Source organism: Homo sapiens, chromosome 9 (assembly GCF_000001405.40).
Source record: "Homo sapiens chromosome 9, GRCh38.p14 Primary Assembly".
In the NCBI taxonomy this organism is placed as follows: domain Eukaryota; kingdom Metazoa; phylum Chordata; class Mammalia; order Primates; family Hominidae; genus Homo; species Homo sapiens.
In genome coordinates this window covers 120540315-120560768 of record NC_000009.12, presented here as the reverse complement: position 1 = coordinate 120560768, position 20454 = coordinate 120540315, and the positions used below count along the sequence as shown (strand labels likewise).

General features: G+C 41.8%; 1 protein-coding gene across 17 annotated transcripts in view; it reads left to right on the top strand.

Moving 5' to 3' along the window:
* CDK5RAP2 (CDK5 regulatory subunit associated protein 2) overlaps positions 1-20454 on the top strand; it is a 191293-nt gene that overhangs the window by 19399 nt on the left and 151440 nt on the right. For all 17 annotated transcript variants that reach the window (NR_073558.2, NR_073556.2, NR_073554.2 and 14 more), the window contains exons 4-5: positions 9867-9977; positions 14979-15055. Coding sequence is in view for 12 of the 17 variants with exons in the window: in NM_001272039.2 (NP_001258968.1) it covers positions 9867-9977; positions 14979-15055 (188 nt within the window). In the remaining 5 variants the exon portion in view is untranslated. The remainder of the gene's footprint in view (positions 1-9866; positions 9978-14978; positions 15056-20454) is intronic.

Genomic DNA, 20454 nt, shown 5'->3' with positions numbered 1-20454 from the left:
GGCATGTGCCTGTAATCCCAGCTACTTGGGAGGCTAAGGCAGGAGAATCGCTTGAGCCCGGAAGGCGGAGGTTGCAGTGAGCCGAGATCGCGCCACTGCACTCCAACCTAGGTGACAGAGAGAGACTCTTGTCTCAAAAAAAAAGAGACAATACCACCATCTATGTATGCAGACCAGAATACTTCCCTAGATGTAAAAATTTAAAAATTGATGACTTCATGGAGGAAAGATGCCATACTGTCTTGAGACTGTGAATGGGCTGGCAAGTGGAGCATAATCACAGGGTCAGCAACAGCCAGGATCAGCACAGACCATTCCTGGTCAATAGTGAGTGGAGAACACAGGCCTTGAGACAGCAGTATGGGTGGGTTGGAGAAGATCTCTTCCCTTTAGTGCCTTGGTGTTGCCTTCACTCTACGTGATTTTTAACGCTATCCTGTGTTTCCTGCTTGCTAAGTGCAAGGCTCTGCCAGGTGCTTTAGCTCATTTAGTTGTCACAACACCCCTGTGAGGGAATTGACTTTATCCTCATTTTATAGATGAGCCAACACTGGACAAAGATGTTAAATAATTTTCCCAAGGTCACACACTGCAAAAGTAGCAGCTCTGGTAGTTTAGTCTGTTTCTGCTGGCCCGAGAGCTCTTGCTCTTAGCTCTTGCTGTCTTGGGTGGAAAGATGATTTGGTAGGGTGAGCCTCAGCTTTGGAGGCCCAGGTTCTTGTGAGCCATTGAAGCGGATAGCCAGAGTTAGGTGTACTTTGCTTAGATTTCAGTTGAGGTGGGGCGGGTTGGAGTTGCCCTGATTCCTTTTTATGTTGTTGGTTTTTCTTCCCTTTTAGATGGAACTTCAGGCTAGGCAAGGCTTTTGACAGAGAATGGGAGTAGGAGGAACCCAGAATGACTGACTAGTAGCTCCTGCAAAATTTTTCCTGCCGCTAAGCTGGGGCCCTTTTCCAGTTTCAGAAAGCACCACCCTGTAGTCATGTTGAGATGTTTCCCATTTCAGATGGCTGCACTTCCACAGTAACACATGGCTTCCAAGGGCTGGAATGTGGCAAATACAGCCTTGCATTAGCTTTCTTTTGAGCATTAGGTTTCCAAGTCATATTTTGTGGGTTTTATATTTTGGGTAATTATTCCTACTGTATTGTAAGCTGTTTTCAGTTTTTCCACCTCAAGTTTTTTTTTTTTTTTTTTTCTTGTTTCTCTTAAGGGGAAAAGTACACATGAGAAAAACAATGTTTTAAATTCTTTGTTTTCTTTTTTTTTTTTTTTTTTTTGAGACAGAGTCTTGCTCTGTGTTGCCCAGGCTGGAGTGCAGTGGCCTGATCTCGGCTCACTGCAAGCTCTGCTTCCCAGGTTCATGCCCTTCTCCTGCCTCAGCCTCCCGCTTGGCTAGGACTACAGGCACCCGCCACCATGCTTGGCTGATTTTTTGTATTTTTAGTAGAGACGGGGTTTCATCGTGTTAGCCAGATGGTCTCGATCTCCTGACCTCGTGATCCACCCGCCTCGGCCTCCCAAAGTGCTAGGATTACAGGCGTGAGCCACCGTGCCCGGCCTCAATGTTTTAAATTCTTATGTTTTACTAGCAACTATATTAAACATTCTAATTAATTTCTTTTAATTCTTAGACTAGCTTTTTGAGATGGTTATAATAATCCCTTTTTTATAGATGGAGGAACTGAGGCATGTAGGAAAAGTGAACTTCATTAAGGCCATACAGCTAGTAAAGTGGTCTGGATTGTATTTATTCATTAATTTGTTCACTCATTTAACAATTTGTTGAACGTCTACTGTGTTCTAGATACTTGTTAAAACCTTGGAGGAAACAGCCATGAAAGATTAAGTGGATTATATTCATGTAATAAACATGATAATAATAAACATGCAAAGAGATGAAACATATACAGATTGTGAAAAATTCTAGCAAGAAAGTAAGAGCTATGTATTAGAGAGTGAGCTGGTTGGGTTCATAGAGATGGGGCCCACTTTAGATGGTGTAGTTGGAGAGGCCCTCCCCAAGGCAGTGACATTGGAGCTGAGGTGGAAGGGATGAGATCGAGCCACCCTGGCAGACGCGTCAGAAAGAGCTTTGTAGGCAGACAAGGGCTTGGCTTATTTCAGGACTGGAAAGGAGGCCAGTGAGGCTGGAATATTGTGAACAGGGGAGAAGATGATACCTGATGTGGTTGGAGAGGTGGACAGGGGCCAGATGATACAGCACTTTGTGGCTGTGGCAGGGAGTTTTATTCTAAGAATGATGGAAAAAAGAGCTAATAGAGGGTTTAACCAGGGAGTGATGTATACCAGATCGGTCTGAAGTCTAAGGGGGCTCTTGTTACATCACACTGCCTTAAAGAAATTCTTTTTTTTTTTTTTTTTTTTTTTTTTTTTGAGACGGAGTCTCACTCTGTCGCCAGGCTGGAGTGCAGTGGTGTGATCTCGGCTCACTGCAAGCTCCGCCTCCTGGGTTCAAGCCATTCTCCTGCCTCAGCCTCCGGAGTAGCTGGGACTACAGGTGCACACCAGTACACCCAGCTAAGTTTTGTATTTTTAATGGAGACAGGGTTTCACCATGTTGGCCAGGATGGTCTCGATCTCTTGACCTCATGATCTGCCTGCCTCGGCCTCCCAAAGTGCTGGGATTACAGGCGTGAGTCACCGTGCCCAGCCTAAAAATTTTTTAAAAAAGAATTTCTTGGCTGGGCACGGTGGCTCACGCCTGTAATCCCAGCACTTTGGGAGGCCGAGGTGGGCAAATCACCTGAGGTCAGGAGTTCGAGATCAGCCTGGCCAACATGGTGAAAACTCGTCTCTATTAAAACTACAAAAATTAGCCAGGTGTGGTGGCGGGCACCTGTAATCCCAGCTGCTCGGGAGGCTGAAGCAGGGAGAATCGCTTGAACCCGGAAGGCGGAGGTTGCAGTGAGCCGAGATTGCACCACTGCACTCCAGCCTGGGTGACAGAGCGAGACTGTCTCAAAAAAAAAAAAAAAAGTTTTTTTTTGACAGAGGGTCTCACTCTGTCACCCAGGCTGGAGTGCAGTAGCATGATCATGGCTTACTGTAGCTTCGACCTCCTGGCCTCAAGTGATCCTCCAGCCTCAGCCACTCGAGTAGCTGGGACTACAGGTGTGTGCCACTATACCCAGCTAATTTTTAAAAAATTTTTTGTAGAGAAGTGGTTTCGCCATGTTGTCCAGATTGGTCCTAAACTCCTGGGCTCAAGTGAGCCTTCTGGCTCTGCCTACCAAAGTGTTGGGATTACAGGTGTGAGCCACACTGCCTGGCCAAGAAATTCTTAAATGTGTCTGTCCATCTATTCTGCCAACCATTGGCTATTTAGTAACCATCTGTTGGGTTACAGTCTAGAGTGCACAGGGAGGTTATGGGATGGGGGTGGGTAGAAAGCCGAGTATCCAGCTAGGACAATGCAGTATGGGCATTGCTCTGATAAAGTAGAGAGTGTGTGGAAACATGAAGAAGGATCCCCAGTCCAGCCTGGTAGTGGTATTCAGAGAAAACTGTGAGGAAAGTGGTACTAAGCAGAGAACTGAACTGGCCATGGTGGAAAAGATGGTGCTTGTATTTCATTTTATTCATTTGGGACTGTCTGTTGTTTGCTGTGACCTTCTAAAGGCGTATTTTGCTTTGCCATATACAAAAATTTCTTTACCTATAAATAGGACAAATATTCTTTCAAGTGTTGTTAAGAATTTTAGCATTGTGTACAATGGGGGCATTCTAAGCAACCTACATAAATATTTTATTGGTAGCTGAGTAACAGAATAAGGTTTCTCTTTATAGGAAGCATCTGGCGGGGTAGTCGTTTTTTGTTTGAATGAATGTTTTATGTGCTGTTTCCTTAAAAGGAGGTGCTAATGAACCTACCAGTTGTTTCTTGTGCTGTTCTTATTAACCACAAAATTGAAACCTTAAGTGTTAACAAGAGGGCCAAGGGTAGACAGTTTCAAAATATACTTAATGTGAAATATGCTTATCGTTTTCTTTTATTCAGTCATAAAATTGTATTTATGGGCCGGGTGTGGTGGGTCACACCTGTAATCCCAGCACGTTGGGAGGCTGAGGCGAGTGGATCGCCTGAGGTCAGGAGTTCAAGACCAGCCTGGCCAACATGGTGAAACCCCATCTCTACTAAAAATAAAAAAATTAGATGGGCGTGGTGACACCCACCTGTAATCCCAGCTACTTGGGAGACTGAGGCAGGAGAATCGCTTGAACCCGGGAGGCGGAGGTTGCAGTGAGCTGAGATTGCACCACTGCACTCCAGCCTGGGTGACAGAGCGAGACTCTGTCTCAAAAAAAAAAAAAAGTATTTACTAAAAAGAATATGATATGCTATTAAAAATTATTTTTTAAAACGCTGAAAAAAATACGTGATGAGTGTTTATGTGTGAAGATGTACTAGCGTCCAAGTGTAGCTTTTCACATTTTGCCCTATTTCATTTTAGTTATTTTAAAAATCAGCTTTATTGAGATATAATTTACATAAAATAAAATGCACCAATTTTAGGTGTTGGATGAACTCTGACAGATGTATATTCCCTTGTAATCACTATTGTAATCTATATGTATGTATGTGTGGTTATAGTTTTTTATATGTGTGTGCAGTTCTTGGCACGTGTAATGATCACCACAATCAGAATATAGAACAGTTCCGTAATATCAACAACTTCCCTTTTTTTTGCTTCTTTGTGGTCAAATCCTCTCTTCACCCCAAGCCTGTGGCAACTAATGCCCTGTTCTCTGTCCTTGTAATTTTGCTTTTCCCAGAATGTCGTATAAATGGAATCATACAGTATGTAATCTTTTCAGACTGTCTTCTTTGCCTCAGCATAATGTCTTTGAATTTTATTTACGTTGTGTGTTTCATAGTTGCTGAGCACTATTCTGTCATATGGATGTCTACTGTTTATCCATTCACCCTCTGAGGGACGTAAGAGTTTCTCCCAGCTTTTGGTGATTATTAATAAAGCTGCAGTAAACATTTATGTACAGGTTTTTTGTGTGAACATAGGTTTTCATGTCTCTAGGATAAATACCTAGGAGTGGAATTGTTGAGTCACATGTTAAGTCTAGTTTTTTTTGCAAGAAATTGCCAAACTATATCTAGAGTGTCTGTGCCATTTTGCATTCGCATCAGCAGAGTATGAGAACACCATTTATTCTACATCAGCACTTGGTATTATCGATTAAAAAATTTTATTTTACCAGGCACGGTGGCTCACATATTCCAGCACTTTGGGAGGCCCAGTCCTCTCATTTAACAGATATGGAAGCTGAGGTCCACAGAGAAGTGATCTGCCGGGCCAGGCAGGGTGGCTCACGCCTGTAATCCCAGCACTTTGGGAGGCCAAGGCGGGCGGATCACTTGAGGTCAGGAGTTCGAGACCAGCCTGGCCAACATGGTGAAACCTCGTCTCTATTTAAAAAAAAATACAAAAACTTAGCCGAGCGTGGTAGTGCGTGCCTGTAATCCCAGCTGCTCAGGAGGCTGAAGCAAGAGAATCACTTGAACCGGGGAGACAGAAGTTGCAGTGAGCCAAGATTGTGCCAAGCCTGGGCAATAAAGCGAGACTCCGTCTACCCACCGCCCCCCACCCCCCCCCAAAAAAATTTAGCCATTCTAATAGGTGTGTACGGTATCTCATTTTTTGTAGGGACAGGGTCTTGATTCTTTTTTTATATCTGTTTCTCCACTGAGACTTTCTATCTTTCCATTCATTTCAAGATTGTTGTCTTATGTCTTAGTACATGATTTTGCATGTTGCAAACATTTTAGTCACTTGACTTTAAACGTTTCACATTTTGAGGCTGAGCGTGGTGACTCATGCCTGTAATCCCAGCACTCTGGGAGGCTGAGGTGGGAGAATCACCCGAGGTCAGGAGTTTGAGACCAGCCTGGCCAACATGGTGAACCCTGTCTCTACTAAAAGTACAAAAATTAGCCGGGCATGGTGGCACATGCCTGTAGTCCCAGCTACTCGGGAGGCTGAGGCAGGAGAATGGCTTGAACCCGGGAGGTGGAGGTTGCAGTGTGCCAAGATTACGCCATTGCACTCCAGCCTGGGTGACAGAGTGAGACTCTGTCTCAACAACAACAACAACAAAAAAAACAAAAAGTTTCACATTTTGAAATCGTCAAATTCATTTATTTTCTTCTCTCAAAAACCTATGAGATTGATTTTATTATCCCTGTTTTAAAGTTGAGGAAACTGAGGCTCAAAGAAGTAGCATGTCTAGGTTGCATCATGAAAGAGAGTTAAGATTGAACTTAATATTGTCTCCAAAGCCACTAATCTTTCTGCCTTACCATTGAAAACTGAGCTTGAACAGTGACTTTGAGAATGGAAAGAGAACAACAGATGCATGAACTATAATGTGGACAGACACACTGCATTTAGTAAATATCATCAGCACTCGCTTCACAATTCAGAGTCTCAAAAAAAGATTGCATTTATCTATTATTTAAATTTATTTCATTTATGGGAAATTTATATGGTACAAATATACAGTGTACTTCTTTATGCCTACTGTCATATCAAGTAAATAATTATGTATTCATATCCCCTGCCCTTTTAAAAAATAGTAACCTATCTATATAATGTCCCATACTGTAGTGTTTTTATTTAACAATGTATCTTGGACTTAATTTCCTATGAGTGCACAATGTGGTCTCTCATTCTTCTTTATGGTTCTATCATATTCTATTGAGTTAACATACTATAATTTACTTAACCATGGATGAATTGACTTTTAATAATTCATATTAACTATAGACTAGTAGACTATTTGACTTTAAAAACTTTAAAAAATGAGGCCAAGTGTGATGGCTTGCACCTATAATCCCAGCACTTTGGGAGGCTTAGGTGAGAGGAATCCTTGAGCCTAGGAGTTTGAGGCTGCAGTGAGCTGCGATTATACCACTTCATTCCAACCTGGGTGATAGAGCAAGACATCATCTTTAAAAAATAAAAAAATAAATAAACTTTAAAAGAAATGTAACATACATGCAGGCATACCCACAAATCATATGTGAACAGTTTAATGAATTATCAAAAAAGGAGCATACCCTATAACCATCACCAAAGCCAAGACATGGTACATTATCAGTGCCCTAGAAGTTTGCTTTGTGGCTCATTCCAAGCACTATGCACTTTTCCTCCCCAAAGGTAACCATCATCCTGGACTAATTTAAAGTCCCTTCCTAGCTTGTGTTTCTGTCACTCTCTTTATAACAGGGTAACGAGAGGAATTTTTTTTCCCACAAAGGCAGAGACTTAAAAATGTATGAAACAGAGAGGGAGAAACTGGGGATGTTGGTAGGATTTTGGAGAACATTTAGCTATTTAAACATGGTGATAGAAGCATACTAGGAATTGCTTTACTGTGTAGGCTAATATCTGTTCTTGAAGTTAAGTTAGACTGCACAGAAAAGTTTACTGGATGAACCAAACCAAAAAAAAATCAGGAATTTTCTCTATAGGCAGTGAGGCTGAATTGACAGATCATAGTTACTGGAGTCAGACAGAAGTATAGGAATCCCAGCTCTTCCCCTACTGGCGTGATCTTTGATCATGTATATAGTGGAGGCAGTACTTTTGCAGTGTTACTTTAAGAATTGAGATATTGTATATAAATTATCTAGCTTGGTGCTTGTTTACATGGTAGGTTCTCAGTAAATATACTTTTTCTTAATATACTATTTTTTCCCCCAACTTTTTATTGTGACAGATTTCAAGCGTATGAAAAGTTGCAAAATAGCACAGTGAACAACCATGTATATTCATCTAGATTCACCAGTTAATGTTTTCTGTATTTGCTTTATCTCTTTTTTTCCTGTCTCTACTCATTTGAGTTAATTGCAGATGTCATGACACAGCACTCTTTTTTTTTTTTAAATTAAACTTTAAGTTTTAGGGTACATGTGCACAATGTGCAGGTTCGTTACATACGTATACATGTGCCATGTTGCTGTGCTGCACCCATTAACTCATCATTTAACATTAGGTATATCTCCTAATGCTATCCCTCCCCCCTCCCCCCACCCCACAACAGGCCCTGGTGTGTGATGTTCCCCTTCCTGTGTCCATGTGTTCTCATTGTTCAATTCCCACCTATGAGTGAGAACGTGTGGTGTTTGGTTTTTTATCCTTGCGATAGTTTGCTGAGAATGTTGGTTTCCAGCTTCATCCACGTCCCTACAAAGGACATGAATTCATCCTTTTTTATGGCTGCATAGTATTCCATGGTGTATATGTGCCACATTTTCTTAATCCAGTCTATCGTTGTTGGACATTTGGCTTGGTTCCAAGCCTTTGCTATTGTGAATAGTGCTGCAGTGAACATACGTGTGCGTGTGTCTTTATAGCAGCATGATTTATAATCCTTTGGGTATATACCCAGTAATGGGATTGCTGGGTCAAATGGTATTTCTAGTTCTAGATCCCTGAGGAATCGCCACACTGACTTCCACAATGGTTGAACTAGTTTACAGTCCCACCAACAGTGTAAAAGTGTTCCTATTTCTCCACATCCTCTCCAGCACCTGTTGTTTCCTGACTTTTTAATGATTGCCATTGTAACTGGTGTGAGATGGTATCTCATTGTGGTTTTGATTTGCATTTCTCTGATGGCCAGTGATGATGAGCATTTTTTCATGTGTCTTTTGGCTGCATAAATGTCTTCTTTTGAGAAGTGTCTGTTCATATCCTTTGCCCACTTTTTGATGGGGTTGTTTGTTTTTTTCTTGTAAATTTGTTTGAGTTCATTGTAGATTCTGGATATTAGCCCTTTGTCAGATGAGTAGATTGCAAACATTTTCTTCCATTCTGTAGGTTGCCTGTTCACTCTGATGGTAGTTTATTTTGCACACAGCACTCTTAAGTACATTAGCATGTGTCTCTTTCTTAGGACATTTTCCTGTAAAATCATATTATTACCTAATATAAAATTGTTATTCAAGTTTCCCCGGGTATCATCATATGGTTGTTTCTGTAAAAAATTCAAGATTCTATTGTACTTAGTAGTCATGCCTCTTCAACCTCCTTTTATTTAGAAGAGTTCACCAAACATTTTTGCCTTAGGATTGCCATTAAGATTTTTGAAGAGTTCAGTTCTGTTGTTTTGCAGAATGTTCTTCAACTTAGATTTATCTGGTAGACTCCTCTTGATTAGATACAGGTTAAAGGTTATAGACAGAAGCACTTTGGATGGAATTATTTGCTCTCATTGATTTATTTCAGGAGGAAAATAATGTTAGTTTATCCCTTCAATGGTGATAAGAGATGAATTTTTTTGGTCAAGATGGTGTTCGCAAGTTTCCTAAATTGTAAGGTTACCTTTTCCTTTTGTAATTAATAAGCCATTTGTGGGTGATATGTTATGACTGTCTGAATATTATGTTCTGTAGTGATCTTTCATCTAATGCTTTTAGTGCTGCTGATTCTTACCTTAATCAATCATTACTGTAGAGGTTTTAAAATAGTGATTTTCTGTTCCTTGTATTCTACATTTATTAACTGGATTTCTTTTGAAAAGAAGAAATTCTTCTTTTCCTTTTCTTCTTATTATCAGTGTGGAGTTTTGAATTCTTTCTTTATTCAGTCATTATTCATTCCTGTCATTATTCATTTTAATGCTCAAATTGTACTAACTTTGGCTAGTGGGAACCACTTAATTCTTCTGGGTTAGTAGAATGGTAGCAAAAATAAGCTTTCTCTAGTATTTAACATTTGAATCAGTTTTGTAGCCTCGTAATCCATAGCGACTAATGTATGTACTATCTGTTGGACCCTCTGTCTTTTGTTTGCTTTTGATGACCCTTCTGTGATATTTTTCAGCAAATCACTGAATTGAAGAAAGAAAACTTTAACCTAAAGCTCCGCATCTATTTCCTTGAGGAAAGAATGCAACAGGAATTTCATGGCCCCACTGAACATATCTACAAAACTGTGAGTGGCCCATTTCTCATTACTGTCCCTTGTGTCCTTTCTCATTGTCATTTCAAGCAGAAATTTGATTAATATTTGTTCTTAGAGTTAGTATGAATAGAGATGCTTTCATTTAATCTGAATTGATTATGGGGAGCATAAAGATATTAGGATGACTTTAATATTAAGCAAAGGGGTACATGATTAATTTTAAGAAAGTCTTTCACTGTCTTTTAAAAATCAGAATTCAGATTCACTACTTTTTACCTCAGTTAAGTTTTTATAATTACGTGTTCTTTAGAAACAGGCAGTGGAATGGTGGAATGGTTTTGGAGTTGAATTCTACTGTTACCAGGTAACTTGTGTAACTTAGGCAAGTCAGTTTAGCTTTTGGGGCTTGCTTCCAGAATTAAGTGATAATCCCTTTGTCATAGGGTTATTTGTATGAATTAAAATGAGAAGACAGATGAAAAGCTCCAGCACACAGTCAGTGCTTGACAATTACCGTCTTCTTGAGGCTTCCTTTGGCAGCCCAAAGTTAGGATTGTCAGTTTTTCTGTGATAGGACTCTTCGGTATTCCTGTGTGCTTGCCTGTAACTGTCAGAAGAAAAGCCTATCCTCATTTGAAGTCTTGACCTGCAGGTCTTTGTCTGAAAACAAACCTTGGTTCTGAAAACTGAAAAAAGAACTTGGCTTTCTTGAAAAGACAGGAGTACAAACAATATTTCAGTGCCTGTTTCTTGGCTTTTTCTAGTAGATTAGCCCTTGGCCTGGGAATTATTCTGACTTTTCTCCTCTGAAGTTTGCACCAGTGGAAACTTTTGAAGGAGGAAAAAGAACTCTCCTTGAGTTTCAGCAGATGAACTTAAATTGACTTGTCTTGAAGAGGGATTGTGCTGTACTTCTGAGCCTTTTCAAGAATTGGAAAGCTTCTTTGTCCCTTATGAAAGTTTTTTTCTTCACTCTGGGAGTGGAAAGACAGTGAGGATGTCCCCTTTTCTGGAAGGGAGTAGTGATGCAATCACAATTTTAAAGGAAAACCAATAGCCTAAAGCAGTTTATACGTGAGTATGGTGGTCATGCGTCTAGAACCTCTTGGGTGATAGGAATACAAAACGTGTCTGTTGCCAACTCTATCAGGCACTGTCTTGGGTATCTGTACATTTGCATCTTATTGTAATTCTCATGACAGTCCTGTGCCGTGGAGTTTATCTTCATCTTACAGGGGAAGAAACTGAGGCTTATAGATGAGTAACCCACCTGATGTCATATAGCTACTACGTGAGGTGGATTTTGAGCCCAGGTCTTCCAATCTCATTGTACTATACCACTTCAATTGTCTGACTAGATGACTTGATTTCATTGCCCCTTTCTTCAGTGTAAGTTTTTGGATAGGTGCACATGGTTTAGAATTCAAAAAGCCTAAGAGATATACACTGAAAACACTCTTCCACCCTTGTGTCCTGGTCCTCTAGATCTAATAAATATTGATTGCTTATGCAGAGGAATTTTATGTATATATAGTATAAGCAAGCGTGTGTTTGTGTGTGTGTATGTGTATAAACCCTCTTTTTACATAAGTGCAAGCATGTTCTGTTCTGCACCTTATATTTTTCGCTTAATGATATCTTTCTGTCTCTTTTTTTTTTTTTTTTTGAGACAGAGTCTCCGTCTGTTGCCCAGGCTGGAGTGCAGTGGCACAATCTTGGCTTACTGCAACCTCTGCCTCCCAGGTTCAAGCAATTCCTGTCCTCAGCCTCCTGATTAGCTGGGATTACATGTGCACGCCAGCACGCCTGGCTAATTTTTGTACTTTTGGTAGAGATGGGGTTTCCCCATGTTCTCCAGGCTGGTCTCAAACTCCTGGCCTCAAGTGATCCACCTGCCTTGGCCTCCCAAAGTGCTTGGATTATAGGCGTGAGGCACTGCGCCTCGCCTTACTTAATGATATCTTTCTTTAATAGTAGTTTAAGAATGAATTTCTTTATTCTTTTTGTTTTTGAGACAGTATCTCACTCTGTCACCGAGCTGGAGTGTAGTGGTGTGATCATAGCTCACTGCAACCTTGAACTCTTGGGCTGAAGGTATCCTCCCACCTCAGTCTCCTGAGTAGTTGGGACTACAGGCATGCACCACCACACCTGGCATTTTTAAATTTTTGCTTTTTGTAGAGATGGGGTCTTGCTATGTTGCCCAAGGCTGGTCTTGAACTTCTAGCCTCAAACCATCCTCCTGCCTTGGCTTCCCAAAGTGTTGGGACTTACAGGTGTGAGCCATTGCACTAAGATGCCTTTTTTAATAGTTTCATAATATTCCATTTTACTCTTTGAAGGTGCCCTGACTTTTGGTTTGGAAATTACAATTATGTATATAAGTTTATAACTTGAGATATTGGGCTTGAGAAAAATAACCGAATGGACATGTTAGCATTCATTCTTTTAAATGTATTAAATTGGAGTGCCTGTTGGTTCATCAGAAAGTGAAGCACGTAGAGTATATTATATCAGTTCATAAATAGAAGCTCTCCACCCTTCTGAGAGCTGGAAAAAGAATCCTCTGTTTGAAGGATGTTTCTGCATTTTTCACAAAATTACACTTGAAGATATTATACACTGTCACCCAGTGTCCTTTTTGCAAAGATCACTTTCTTCAAGAAAAAGTTCTGCCTCATAGATGACTTCTTTAATTCTTGTTGTTTGACAGTGAAGAAGATAACCTATTTTGAGCCCTGTCTCCGAGGCTTTTCTCATTTGCTAGCTCATTATAGTCCTTAAGGCCCCCATGTCATGGGAGCTTTTATGTTTTGTTTTTGACACTTGAGGATTAGAAAGGAGAAGCATTGCTTTCTCACCCTGTGGACTTATATGTCTAAGGACAGTTAAAGTATTGTGCTTCTAGTTTTGTATTCCACGTTAGCATGTCTTGTTCACTTCAGTGTCTTCTGTGGTTGGTCCATCACAGGTGCTTGGTAAGTTTCTGTGACGTGAAGGAGTGAGTAAGTGAGGAGCCACTGACTTTGTGGTCTCCTCCTGGTAGGGAGTAGAGACAGAATTTAAACCTATGTCCTTTTGTTCACACACCCATGACCTTACTGTCATGGCTGTACTTCTCAACGTGAAGTACTTGCTTCTCTAGGGCTGCTTGCCAGAAAGGAGGGAGGCATATCCTGTGAGACGGTAAATCTTACTGGAAATGATTTTTTTTTTTTGAGATGGAGTCTCGCTCTGTCGCCTAGGCTGGAGTGCAGTGGTGCAATCTTGGCTCACTGCGACCTCTGCCTCCTGGGTTCGAGCGATTCTTCTGCCTCAGCCTTCCAAATACCTGGGACTACAGGCATGTGCCACCACTCCTGGCTAATTTTTGTATTTTTAGCTGAGACAGTGTTTTGCCATGTTGGCCAGGCTGGTCTCGAACTCCTGACCTCAAGTGATCCGCCCACCTCAGCCTCCCAAACTGCTAGGGTTATAGGTGTGAACCACTGCGCCCGGCCTGGAAATATTTTTGTTTAAATAATACACATATGGCCGGATGCGGTGGCTCACGCCTGTAATCCCAGCACTTTGAGAGGCCAAGGCAGGCGGATCACTTGAGGTCAGGAGTTCAAGACCAGCCTGGCCAACGTGGCGAAACCCCGTCTCAACTAAAAATACAAAAAATTAGCTGGGCGTGGTTGCAGGTGCCTACTATAATCCCAGCTACTCGGAGGCTGAGGCAGGAGGATTGCTTGAACCTGGGAGGTGGAGGTTGCAGTGAGCTGAGATCGCACCACTGCACTCCAGACTGGGTGACAAGAGCAAGATTTCATCTCAAAAAAACAAAAAAAACGAAAAAACAAAAAACACATGTATTATGGAGTAGAATATAAAATTGGCATGGATTATTAAAATAAAAGAGGAGCTGTAAGCCCAGTGCTTTGGGAGGCTGAAGCAGGAGTATCATTTGAAGCCAGAAGTTTAAGACCAGCCTGTGCGATATAGCAAGACCCAATCTGTAAAACAAACAAACAAACGAAAAGACGGGTGTGGCAGTGCACGCCTATAGTCCCAGATACTCAGGAGGTTGAGGTGGGAGGATCCCTTGAGCCCAGGAGTTTGAGGCCTGCAGTGAGCTATGATAGTACCACTGCACTCCAGGCTGGGCAACAGCAGAGCAAGACTCTGCCTCTAAATAAAAAAACAAAAAAACAAAAAAACAAAAGGGAGATTTCCAATAAATTGTAGATTTACAGCAGTCTTCCACAAACGATGCACCCAAACCCCCATCTACTACTTGAGTTCATCTAATATTCTGTCTGGGATACATTTGTAGATAAGTTTGAGAAGTCTGCCACTGTTCAGCTGTCTCATATTGAATTCCATTTGCCCTGGATTCTCACGTGAGTTATAAGCCCAAGGCTGTGTGCAACTCCCTTTGTTCCAGTCAGTTAAGAGGAAGACATTTGGTTGGAGAACATTGCGGTGCTCCTTATAGACAGCTTGCCCCATGTGGTTGTAGCTTTAAGTGAGAACCCTGAAATCTTATATTGAAATGACACATGCCATGATGTGGTCTCCTGTTTTCCATCCACATGTTTTATTTTTTTTTAAGCTGTAACACGTTCCCACTGCTGCATCCACCACATGCATGATTGTAAACAACCACCAGTAATTGCTTTGGAATGGGAAAAACACACCGCAGAATTGCTTGTAAATTTGCTTGGTGGAGGGCATACAATTTTTAAATCAGCCTTCCTTGTATGACATTTATGCCTTGATATTTGAATGCTCTGGCTGTTAGAAGCTTGGAGCATTTACATAATTGTTCCAAGTCTCACAAAATCTAGGTCTTTCTTTTGAGACCACCAGTGTTTAATAATTCCCTTTTCCCTGTGCCCTGAGGCTAATGAGGGTTTTTGGAATCTAACATCTGCCTATTACAAGCATCCTGTAGTCAGTCTGTGCTGGAAGCAGTTTCCCCATTGTTGACATTCATAGGTCCTCTATTTTACATTGTTTCTTTTCTTTCTTAATCTTGTTTTGTAGAACATTGAGCTCAAGGTGGAAGTAGAAAGTCTGAAGCGGGAACTCCAGGAGAGAGAGCAGCTGCTCATCAAAGCCTCGTGAGTACCATCATCCGTTGAAAGCTTGCAAGTCGCCCACACTGGGTTGGTCAGTGAAATAGAGCCGTACACTTTTCTAAGACAGTTGGTTTCCATCTGGACTCTGAGGACTGCAAGGAGGTTTTTGTTTTTACTTAATTATTTACTTTTCAACAAGCTTTTAAGATATACCATGCTTATAGAAAAATGAACAGATCTTAAGTGTACAGCGTGAATGTTCACAAGCAAACACACCTGTGGAGCTACCATCCAGATCAGGAAACAGAACATGCCAGCCCCCCAGAAGCCCTCTTTGTGTTCTCAGAGCTCACCTTTCTCCCCTAAAGATAACTACCATTCTGACCACTGTTAGTTCTGCCTGTTTTTAAACTTTATATAAAAGGAATTATATAGTAGATTCTCTTTTGTGTCTGGCTTCTTTCCTCAACAATATATTTGTGAGATTGATCTATGTTGTTAATTATATCAGTAGTTCAATTCTTACTGTTGTAAAAGCCTGGGGTGACTTGAAGGGGTCCTGATGGGTGAGGCAGGGAGACAGAGGATGGGGCTTCAGCCACAGTAAATGTCTTTTTTTTTTCTTTAAGATCTGTTAAGTGTCCTAGGGACCCTCGTAATATTTTGCTTGAGAGAGGTTCTCCTCCTTAAAAAACATTTGAAAAGTAGTATTTTCATTTATTAAAATATTGAACAACAAGCACAGTTCAGCAAATACAGTCAGTGAATCAATTGATTTTTCACTCATTCGTAAACATTTATTACATAGTAACTTGTGAAATACACAAGTATTTCGAGTCTAACATCTGCCCGAAGATCTGAAAAGAGACAGCCCTCCACCCTTCTACTCCAAGAGCTCATCAGAGACTGGTGAGCTGCCCATCACACCTGTGAAAAATAACATGCCAGGAAGGTACAGTGATGGAGGGTGTTGTGGGTAAAGTGGCAACACCAAAGTGTGCTAAGTTTTGTTCTGTGACAGTGGAATAAGACTTTCCAGGGTTGCCTCACCGAGGATCCTAGCCAGAAGCTTATGTGGAAATGCTTCATTTGTCCTGGCAATAGAGTTCCTGCTGGGTGTGGTAGGCCAGGACCATGGAGTTCTTGGTTTAGGGCATGGCTGCACTGCTCTGGGCCAGGCCAGTATAATTCCCTTCATTGCCACAGGGTCCAGCAGCTGGAAGCTGGCCTGCTGTTGGCTTTCAGCAGACTAGAGGATGCCAGGCCCAGGCTTCTTCTCCAGGTTATGCTGAACTTGCACACTTGGTATTTTCTGAATGAATGAGTGAATGAAGTAATAAATATCACCAGATTAACAAGTTGTTATTGTTGTTGTTGTTTTTTGAAGTAGATTATTTTCTGGGCAGGGAGGCAAATCTGCTTTTTCAAGCTTGAAGATCAGTAATGGAATTTGGTCTATTTCATACTCAGTGCCCTGCCTGCTACAGGTCTTGGCTTGGACTAGTTTTTAGTTAAGCTCGTACACATGGAAACCTCAGCTCACAAAGGCTTGCATACACTCCTCAATAGCAACACATGGGATTGAGTATTTTGGAGGCTTGTGCACATGTTTATATGTGTATATTTCCCAAACTGCTCAGGGTTGTGTGGTCTGACCAGCTTTATTCGTTTATTCAGAAAATATTTATTAAGTGGCTCTTGTGTGCTGCAGTGGACTAGGTTCCTGGGGATATAGTGGTGATGCAAACAGATGTATGAGGCTCACATTCTAGTGGGAGTGATGGTGATAAAATACTTGGAGTAATATATAAACACAAGTTGGGGAAAGAGCTATGAGGAAAAATAAAGTGAGCTATGAGAATTTATAGGTAGGGGAGTAAATATATATTATTATTATTTTTTGAGACAGAGTTTTGCTCTGCCAGGCTGGAGTGCAGTGGCATGATCTCGGCTCACTGCAACCTCCGCCTCCTGGGTCCAGGCGATTCTCCTGCCTCAGCCTCCTGAGTAGCTGGGATTACAGGCATGTGCCGCCATGCTCAGCTAACTTTTGTATTTTTGTAGAGATGGGGTTTCACCATGTTGGCCAGGCTGGTCTCGAACCCCTGGCCTCATGTGATCCGCCCACCTCAGCCTCCCAAAGTACTGGGATTACAGGGGTGAGCCGCTGCACCCAGCCAGGTAGGGGAGTGAATATATAGATATGGCTATGTAGCTGGGAAAGTGTCCCTGAGGAGATGGCATTTGAGATGAGATCTGAAAGATAAGTAGGAATTAACCAGTTGAATGGGTAGAGAAACTGTTCAAGGAGAAGAGAATGTATAGGTCTGAGGGAATATGAGAAGTCTAGACACTAGAGATTTTGATCTTTATCTTAAAATCACATGGAAAGCAGTTGTGGGTTTTAAGCAAGTGACACAATCAGAGTTCTGTATTTGAAAAGGTCATTCTGGATGCTGGGTGGAAAGTGGATTGTGGAGACAGCATGAGTGAAAGCTGGGCGACCAGTCAGGAAGCTAGTCCAGTGGTTGAGGTGAGAGGTGAGTGACAGAGTAGCTGGGTGAATCAGACATTTGGGAAGCAGAATCAACAGGCTTTGGTGATGGATGGGAAGGGGGATGTCATGGATGATTCCTGTTTGGGGTTAAGGTCATGAGCTCTGTTTAAGAATGTTCGCAGTGACCCAACTGCTCCAGCTTCCTCTCCACCAACTCTATTCCAAACACAGTTCATGGATGCTAAAATGTTCTTGCTTTTGCTGCTCTAACTCTGCTCCAGCAGACCTCCTCCCCTCTCACCTCCTCCCAGCCCAAATGCCTTCCATTGCTCAGCCCTTTGTAAAGCTTCAGATCTGGAACCGCGCATGGCTTCCTCTAGCCCGCATCAGTCTCTTAACGGACTTCGCTGGTACAGAATGATAATACTCTATGTTTAACACTTTTTAGTTTATAAAACACTTTCCATTTACATTCCATCATTGTTCTGGGAGCTGGGAAAGTCTTGAGGAATACCCTCATTTCACAGAGGAGAGACTATAGGCCAGGAAAAGGGAAGGGCCATGACTCCCAGCCAGGAAGGTCACATCTGGTATTAGAACTTTAGTCCCTGACTTCTAGTTCAGCACTAGGTTCCATGTTCTTTTTAAATTTTTGTATGTAGATAATTGTATATTTGTATATACACAGTATCTGTGTATCTGTTCAATGACAGTATCTACCATGGAACTGCTAGGTGTACCCATCTCTTTTTTTTTTTTTTTTGAGATGGAGTCTCGCTCTGTTGCTCAGGCTGGAGTGCAATGGCACAATCTTGGCTCAGTACAACCCGGGTTCAAGTGATTCTTCTGCCTCAGCCTCCCGAGTAGCTGGGATTACAGGCATGCGCCACAAGCCTTGGCTAATTTTTGTATTTTTAGTAGAGACAGGGTTTCACCATGTTGGCCAGGCTGGTCTCAAACTCCTGACCTCAGGTGATCCCCCCTGCATTGGCCTCCCAAAGTGCTGGGATTACAAGCATGAGCCACCATGCCTGGCCGTGCTTTTCTCTTTAACCCTAGCTTCCTAGCACCCAGCAGTATGTCTGTGGTGGATACTTGTTGATGGAAAATATCTATGTTAATATGATACCCTCAACTCCCCTTTTCAGTTTTAGGATTTTTGTTGGGGCGTGGGGACAGGATATGACATCTGCCACAGGAAAATCCCCTGCTTTTTCCTGAAGAACCATAATTAGAATGAAAAGAATCCAGGGGAAATGTGGAGAATTAAAAAGGGTAGTGAGGCTGGCATTTATAGAATCTGGCTTTCTTGTATTGGGTGGAAAGCTAGATGAAACCAGTTTCTCTCAGCCTTTTCTCTCCTCAGGTCTTGCTGCCCACCTTGTGTGTTAGCCCAGATTCTGCAAGGAAAGAAAGGGTCGAGGGAGGGAGCTAACACTTACTGAGATCCTTCTTTGTTCCACATCCTGCATCTGGCGCTTGACAGGCTTTATTGCATTTGATCAGTTATGTGGGCAGTCAGTATTCCCATTTGAGTGGAGAGAAAACCAAGGTTCGAGGAGTGGGGAAACGTGTAGCGGCCGCTCTGCCTCCAGAGTGTGCTGTGCCTTGCTGTGAGATAAACATATTTGTTGGCTGGTTTTCCATTGTTATATTTATCAGTTACAATAAGGGGACATAAAAAACGAAAGCAGTCATATTGTTGCAAGTAAATTTTATCTCTGTAGCTTTAAAACACAAACAAAAATAATAATTCCATTAGTAGAGGAAAATTGTACCATACTACTGAGTATAAATTTTATTGCCACAGAAACTGTAAAGCACAAAGATGATAAATGAAAAGTTGGAACATTTATTATTGGGAGTATATTTTACTGGTATAACTAAAACTCAAACAAACTGAATAATAATAGTACTTGTTAAAAATTGTAATCAGCCTCTTGACAATGTATGTGATTTAGACAGCAAAACAGAAAGGTTAGATCTGGGCTGATAGGAGGGAGACGGCCTATTTGCACTCTGGTGGGCAGGGTGGAGGGGTAAGGGAAAGGGTAGCAGAGATGAGCCATTTTATAGAGGAGGCTCTGTGAAGCCCCAGGCCTCAAACCTTGGTGAGTGGGTAGCAGAAATTCATTCCTGGAGAAATCCTGTAGCCAAGGCTCGGGAAGGAAGGGCTTCTCGTCCAGAATTCTTTCGGCCGTGTATAATGCTCCTCAAGGAGTGATAGAAATGATTGTGAATCACTGTGAATTCAAGACAGTGATCCAAAAATGAGCCCCGGGAGTGGGGGGTGATGGCATTCAATGGTATTAATCAGGAAATGGAAATAGGCGCCTTGGCTTTGGCCAGCGGAGACCCCAGCAGAGGGTAGCATGAGGCCTCTCACAGCATGCTGCTCAGCAGGAGCCAGTGCTGTGTGGGCCTCAGAGGCCAAGGGCTAGTGTGCAGAGCACTCTGATCAGAGAGGAACAGGCCGACGTGTGTGAGCACATTAATTCTGAGAGGTAATCATCTCATTTTTCACATGAGGAAACTGAGGTGTGAGAGGTAATTTACTGAGGCTAGGTAATTCACCCAGAGTCCCACTGAGGACATAATAGAGTAAAAATTTAGAAGCAGATCTGTCCAGCTTCAGAGCCCATGTTCTTTCTTTCCAGTTGTTCACATTGAATTCCATTAAAATGATATGACACTGGGGCCTTCTGAAGCTTTATTGGTGAAAAGAAAAAAGATATTAATAAAGTCTTTATTTTCAGGCGACTCATGTTTGAGATTTGGACAACAAGTATGGCCCTCTTGACTTTCCATTGTTCTCAGTAAAAAATTCACATGGCTTGTACATATGAGAGATCACATGGCTCTCAGTTGGAAAAATTTTATGTATCTTTAAAGTAGGGCATGGGAAGCTGGTGGTGAATAGATTTGTTCTGTTGCAGTTTTTCTG